Below are 7,988 nucleotides of genomic sequence, written 5' to 3' on the forward strand. Positions count from 1 at the left end.
CTATATTTCATAATCAGGTCAGTGATGACTATACATCAACACATGTTTTCCTCTGTGTGTGTGTGTGTGTGTGTGTGTGTAAAACTTCTCATTGCCCTGAAATGCCAAAACCCTTCACACTAGCCCATAAAAGTAACCAAAATAAACGGGTGAATGTGTATAGGTCTATTAAAAACATAACCATTACTTCTACAATGATGACCAGCTTAATGCATTTTGGAACATACCATAGCTAATATTACTCTGAAAATATTTATTAAGCACATGAACATCTAGACATAATTCATTATAATGTACTAAACTGTTAGGTTTATAGGATTTCACATCTATCATACTTTCTAAGTTTGGTTCTTCAGTTTTAAGCAATAATAGTATTTTTTTTATTATTTTTTAAGGAGTGACTTCATTATAACACAATAATAGGAAGAGTTATGTGAACTTAAGACACGAGGAAGACTATGAATGTGTTGATACTCCTTTATGGGAAAGGTTATTGTTTTGTTTGAACAATAAAGCTATTGATTGCTCCCTAATATTGGGGGGAAATAGGAGATTTTATTAGCATTTGTTTGGAAATACAAGAACACAACATTACATTCTCCTTAACATAATAAACATAATAGCTATGATTTAATGAGCTCTGTGCATGTTGCAGGAAGCTTGCATCAATTACCTCACAATGACCCTATGGAGTGGGTCAATGGAGAGGAAACTGACACCTGAAGAGGTCCACTATCTGGCCGTGATGCTGATAAGTAGCAAGCGTCAGTGTTGAAATGGCAGTCCGGGATATCAACTTCATTCTTTTAGTTTGCTTTATGCTGTTTTTTGTTTTTTATTTTATTTTTTTAACAGTGGGTCTTTCTACAAAATAATTCAGCTGTATTGGCTATAATTCTATAATGACTTTTTAGGAGGTTGATGCCCCCCTCCACAACACTTTTTGTGAGGCATTTTAATTACAGATTACATTACCTTTGAAATCCAAAGTGGATTTACTTAAAAGAAAACATAAATGAAGTCACTCTTTTTGTGAGGATATAAAGGATATTCAAGCACTATATTTTACTGCTTTATTAAATATTAACATTCTTCAATGACTTTGGAGTGCAAAAGAAAAGTAGTATCTCATACAAAACCTGAAAATTATGGGATGAAATTTAATTGTTATTTACTAAAAAGTAGGTGTTGATAGATTTTTCAACTTTATAAGGTTTAGTCATTTTGTGGATTCTAGGTCTCTTTTTTAAAAAAGCAAAGATATAAACATAAAGATATTTTAATCATCGTGGAAGATAAATTAATATAATGAGAAAGCCTTCACTACTTTCTTTCTGTTATTCCATCTCTGTTGTGTTTTTCTATGATATAAACCTTAATCATGCTTTCTTTAACACATTCATAGTAACTGGGAGGTATAGTTATTTTGCAATTTTTTCGATCTGTGAATTTTGTTGGGATACATTTTAGAGTTTTTAATGTTGATTAAAAATATGAAGATACAGAAAAGTAAAAAAGCATATATACTTATGTATATTAAACAATAGTATAATGTATAAAATCAGTAGTATATATTAACATTATATATCATATTATATATGTGAATTATTTTACTATTTTAGTATATGTATGTATAAATAAATCTATAGAAGAAAAATAACAGGCTTTGAAGGACAAATCGTGTGACTAATGCCAGAATAATTGAATTCATTTACATTACATATAAAAGATATAATAAGAAATTTTGATATAAGGATATTTGCTAAGTAACCATGTGAATTTTAAAGCCACACTAACTTAGATGAATTCAAAATCTATATTTAAAATGCTTTCTAATCTTGGGATAGATGTCTGATCCCTAAAACGCAGATTCTTTATTTGTAGAAAGGAGTTAAGGATGATATCTCAAAGGAATATTGTGAAAATTAAAAACAAGCTAATGAATAAAAAATGTTTGGCTGAGTAGTTCTAGGAAACAGTAAGTAGCCAGTTAATGATACTTGTATTTTATTTCTATAAAATGCCTTTTTAATTTTAATAACTATTTGTGGATTGAAACACCATTTTAGGTAATTTTATTGATCAACAGTGTGGAAGAACTTGAGAGATTGTCCAGGACAAACCTCACTGTTATGGCAAAATAAAATTTGAAGATGTTAGAGCAGCCCTTTTCTGGAGTGGTAGAACAGGTTAACGGTAAAATCAGCCTTGGAACCCACCCTTCCTGACATTGAATGTACTGGGTCCCCCTCTACTACTGGGGTTTGGTGAAACAAGTAAATGACATTTTCCTCTACCAATACAGACCTAATTGGAACACAAGAGACAGAATGGTGGTGAAATAACTGATTGGAGAATGTGCCTAATATTTCGTCCCTGAATACGACTGATTTTCCCACTCAGTCACAGACAGCTCTGGAACACGAAGAACCTTCCAACTGGGCATTGCCTTCCTACGATTCTAACATACAGAAGAGAGGGCAGGGTCTGCTTCTCGAGTATGGATTGCCAAGAACAAAAAGCAAAAGAAATAAAACAACCCTGATGGGCCTGAGCTGAGTGTGCCCAATTTCCTAACCAAGAATTACCAGTCACATAAATGAGTGAAGGTAGAGAAAAGATCTAGTCTGAGAAATTCCTTCTCATGAAAAGGGAAAGAAAGAAAAAAAGAAGATCCTATGATATACTAAAAATAAAATGCAAGTATTACATTTCATTATATTTAGTATCTAACCATAATTTATATGGGCCTACTGTGTAATATATTTAAGATAAAAACATTTCCATGATTTTATTGTAAACTTCTCCATTTCATATCAGTCCTTTACAGTAATAATCTAAATTACGTGAATAATAAAACTATTCACTCATCTTCTCTAAACCTCATTGCATTTGAGAAGATCTGGCTTGCCCTAATCTTTTGTTCCTCATTGCCAAACTGTCTTAATCATTTTGCTTTCTCTGTAAGAGTCACATTTTAAAACCTGATCTTGGTGGCTTTTCTCCAACTGTTTCCTCTTATGTGGATTATGAAAACTTTCTTGAAATCTAGCTTGTAACCTCAAGAGCTCACTAAAGTCCCAAAGGCAGTATTTAATGCACAAAAATGTGTGCTCTACCTTGTTATTTTGATTAAGATTATATTTAAAATAAATTTAAAATAGTGACATGAAAAGCAAAATAAATCAGTTTAGAATGAGTGCCAAGTCTAATAAATAGCATAATCTGAATGTATTTAATAGTAAGGGAATGAAATATAATGCTATGGGAACTTGCTAATTTGCAATAACTATGAGGAGATCTGTTAATACTACATACTACAGGTTATTGTATTTTGAGGATTAGCAAGAACGTGAAAAACACAGGATGTGAAATTAGAGATAGCAAATGTAATGCATTTATTTTCAAGGACTGTTTTAACTATTCTCAGTGTTTTGTAATGTATTGGTAAATGCATATAATAGTCTTGGTAAAATTTATGAAATTTTTCTCAATAGCATTTTCTGTTGGCTATTATTTTTTTACTGACAAGATCTCTTTGTGAAAGATCACATCTCTTTGTAAAAGATCTCAAGTGACAAGGTTTCTTTGTGAAAATTTTGAAGATTACGAGATTATTAGAAAGAGTTCCTGAAGTTCCATGACAGTTGTTATTTCATCTTGACAAATTTTACATCAGAGGCTGGTAACTTTCATGTAATATTTAGTATTATAAGCAAATCAGCACTTTTCTGACTATCCTATTTATATTTCACACTCCAGAGTAAAAGCAATGAATGTATTTATTCAAAATGAAAAAAATATATATCTTTTTTTTCACATGTAGGACCTCAATTTGAGTGAATATTGTTGAACTGAGTTGAGTATGCCTGGGAGGGATTACTGAATTTGAGGTTAATAATCACTCTATAAGCATTATATTTTAAAAAGCAATTGACTCTCATCTCCAAACACTGTTGCTGTCCATCACATGGCGGCCCTGTTTATTTTCTCCGTTGCACACATGTTTATTTTCTATCTTTCTCTCTCTGCATCAAGGGCCGTATGGGCAAGGCCTTCAAGGTTTGCTTTCCATTGGATTCCCTGGTCCTCACATAGTATCTGAGATGTGCAGACACTTAATGGCCATTTGCCAAATGAAAGGACAGAATCAGATCAGCAGGACTTTGTGGATTTTTACACGGAGCAATTTACATGTAGTTCACTATGAACTAGGCCTTCATTTGCATGTGTTATTAGGAGTGAGTCTTCATGCAACTGAATATTCATGCTCTATGAGATTGTGTTGGCGAAGTTCTGAGACCCTTTGCTGGCACAGAGCGGGCCCTGAAATCGTCTAGACTTGTTAATATACAAATCTTGGTGAATGCAACTATAAAGAAAAAAAAACACAGTTGAATTGGAAAGTTTTATTTTTCTCCTTTTTCAGAAAACATTTCTGTCTCTATGCAACCAAGTTAAGAGCATCAACAAATGGTTAAGAGTTTGCCTTCTGAAAATGAAACTAGAACAGAAAAGAAGGCTTTGGCAAACTCAAGGCCACTGGCCAGATCCAGCTCGAGAGCTAGGAATGTTTTCCACATTTTTAAACAATTTTTTTTAAAGAAAATTAAGAATATATCATAGAGACCATAAGTGGCTCACAAAGCCTAAAATATTTGCTATCTATCTTTTTATAACACCATTCGCCTCACTAGATGATGCCATTTAACAACCAAAATAAAATGAGTGTGAATAATAATGCATTTTAGTGTTTTACAAACAGATTGTTTACTGAGAAATTATCATCCTAAGTGTGTTTCATGTATATTCTTCATGGAGTTTTGCTTTTTTAGTCTTGGATGGGCCTTGGATTCTTAATTCTGGCAATAAGAATAAGAATCATCGACCAATAGGAAAACGAAGACATTTTTCATTCCCATTTAAATCAATATTAGAAACATTGTATCTCTGACTTTACAATGTAAACAAGAAAAAATGCTATTGCATGTATCATTTATTTAACTTGATTTTTCTTTCTTCAAAATCAATGTTTATCATAGAAAGATATATTGCACAAATGTGCTGTATGCCATTAGCAATAAGAGGTTATTAATAAAACAAATAAATGAGAGAAAAAGAAAAAGGGAGATGACAACCTGTGTTCAGTATTTTTGGTTTAATTTATAACTCATTTTATAATATGAGACTTTCATACAGCATAAATATAACTGGTTTCCTATAGATTTCCAGAAATGCTGACCAAATATTTTTGAGCCCTGGAAAACTTCCATTTCAAGAAAGTATATTTTTCATCTTGTTCAGCTTGAAAGGATAAGTCTACCATACAAATATATCTTATTCTATGTATTTATTTCCAATAAAATGAAATGATAGGACTATATTTTATAGGTCTCATTCAGACCTGAGTTAAAAGGCCATTTAGATGCTCAACTACTACTGAATGTGTAGTGATAAGAGTACCTAAAAAGTAGGAGAGTTTGAATACACAGTACACAGTGCTTCCTCATTGGAGAATCTTTGTCACAAGTTGTAGATGTTTAGCTCTTCAGAGGTTTGCAGCCCTGGCCATTTATAAGTAAATGGAGAGCAGCCAAGCCAGAGCTCTGGAAGCAGGAGTGTCTCATAAGACCTGCTGTTTGGTTATGCAGGCTTTTCACAATCCTGGGGACTTCATATTTGCATTACTAATAGCGCTGTTTTTAAGGGCACTGGCATTTTAGGTGGATTGAATAACAATATTTTTCCCTATTTCAGCTGTACAAATTGACTCATACTAAGGAAAGACCACACCTTTTTTTCTTCTGCATATTCATTTCAGAGTGTTTATGTGTGGATGATATTTAAAAGGCAAATGTGTGACTGAGTAGGAAATCTTATACAGATGTTTGTAGCTTTGACTTTCTAACTCTGCCACTTACTAGCTACATACTCTTAGCAAGTTACTCAACCATTTTTTAGCATTAGTTTTCTAATCTTTGAAATTGTTATCATGATTCTTGTTTCACGGCATACTCATCAATTAGTGTAAGTATTTACTGAGGGGATTCTATATACCAGGGACTCTTCCTGGGCCCTGAGATATGGTGGTGAACAGGACAAATTTTTGACTATGTGCAGCTGAGGTTATAGTGCACAACCATTATAAATGAATATAAATTATGAGCAATAGAGTGAGCCTTCATTAATTGTTATGTTTCTGCTCTGTTTGCCTTGCCTGTCTCTTCTGCTAGACTGATATCTCCTTAAGGGCAGGATCTCTTACCTCATTTGTCTCACCCTGGTCTTTAATAAGTAACTATTAATTAAATGGATACATTTTGTCTTTTAATTCCATGTGAACTCCTCATTGTGCTGAATCATGATTTTTTAAAAATTTCAGCCAACTATTCTACTGCACACACACACATACATATACACATGTAAATGCTATCTTTGGGATGGATTCAGAATGTTTGTACCAGTTTCTGAATCTTAAAGTGAGGAGAACAGTGTGACAGCTTGTGGACCCCAAGTTAACTTTCAGTGCCATGTACAGTCATTGCTTGTTCTCATCTCTCTTGAAATTATTGTTGATTGTGGCCAGGCACGGTGGCTCACGTCTGTAATCCCAGTACTTTGGGAGGCCGAGGCGGGCGGATCACGAGGTCAGGAGATCGAGACCATCCTGGCTAACATGGTGAAATCCCGTCTCTACTAAAAAATACAAAAAAATTAGCCTGGCGCGGTGGCAGGCGTCTGTAGTCCCGCTACTCGGGAGGCTGAGGCAGGAGAATGGCATGAACCCAGGAGGTGGAGGTTGCAGTTAGCAGAGATAGCGCCACTGCAGTCTGGTCTGGGTGAAAGAGCAAGACTCCGTCTCAAAAAAAAAAAAAAAAAAAAAAAAAATTATTGTTGATTGCTCTAACAATTCCAATAGAAATGACTTCCCTCCCCTGGCAAGAAGTACAGAAAGCTCAGGTTCCCTCTGTCTCTCCCTCTCTCCATCCCTCCCACCACACCTTGTCTACTCTATTGAGGCTGGAAATTGGTAACTTGGCATGTGGCCCTTAAGAGCTTTTCTTTTTCCAGATTTCTAGCTCACTACCAACTTTGAACCAAATGAAATTTAACTTCATCTTCAAATCCAATATCCTCCTTGCTCCCTACAGCAGTTAATTTCATCACCTTTTTTCTACCAAGTTATCTGGTCTGAAAACTAGAAAATATTCAATACTTCCCTTTTATTCATTAACATATTTATTTATTTACTTAAGGAGAATGCTTGACATGAGGTTTAGGATGATTTTTTTAAAGCATGGACTGTAGTTTGACTGTATATGTTCCTGAATTTCTCATGTTGGAACTTTGATCTCAAGGTGATAGTATTTAAGGCCTTTGGGGGAAGTGATGAAGGCATCAGGGCTCTGCCCTGGTGAACGGGATTAATGCCTTTATAACAGATGGTTGAGAGAACTGCCTGGCCCTTTTACCCTTCTGCCTTTCCACCACGTGAGGACATAGCAACAAGGAGTCACTTTTAAAGCAATGGGAGCCAGCCCTCACCGGATACTGAATCTGCCAAGCCTTGGTCGTGGACATCTCCATCTCCAGCACTGTGAGAAATAAATTTCTATCTCTTATAAATTACCCCATCTGTGGTATTTTGTTATAGCAGCAGGATTGGACTAAGACTGCATACTATGTTATTGTCTCTTCACTGCTGAAAAATATTCTATGAATTCCTGCTGCTTACAAGGTAAAAAATTCAAATGCCTGTGGATAGTGCAGACTTCATAATATGACTTCAGTCTACACTTATATGCTCATTTCAGATCACTTTCTCCCAGTCATCTAATTACACTTAACCCTAGACAGAGTATACGTTGTTATTTCTTCTTCTGTTTTCTCTAGTCTGGAATGCCTTCCTTCCATACCTCTAGTTGGTCAACTTTCACTTTTCTCTTAAAACTCAGCTCAATATTTTCTTCAAGTCTTGTATTTGTCTA

This window comes from Homo sapiens, chromosome 6 (assembly GCF_000001405.40).
Source record: "Homo sapiens chromosome 6, GRCh38.p14 Primary Assembly".
Lineage (NCBI taxonomy): Eukaryota > Metazoa > Chordata > Mammalia > Primates > Hominidae > Homo > Homo sapiens.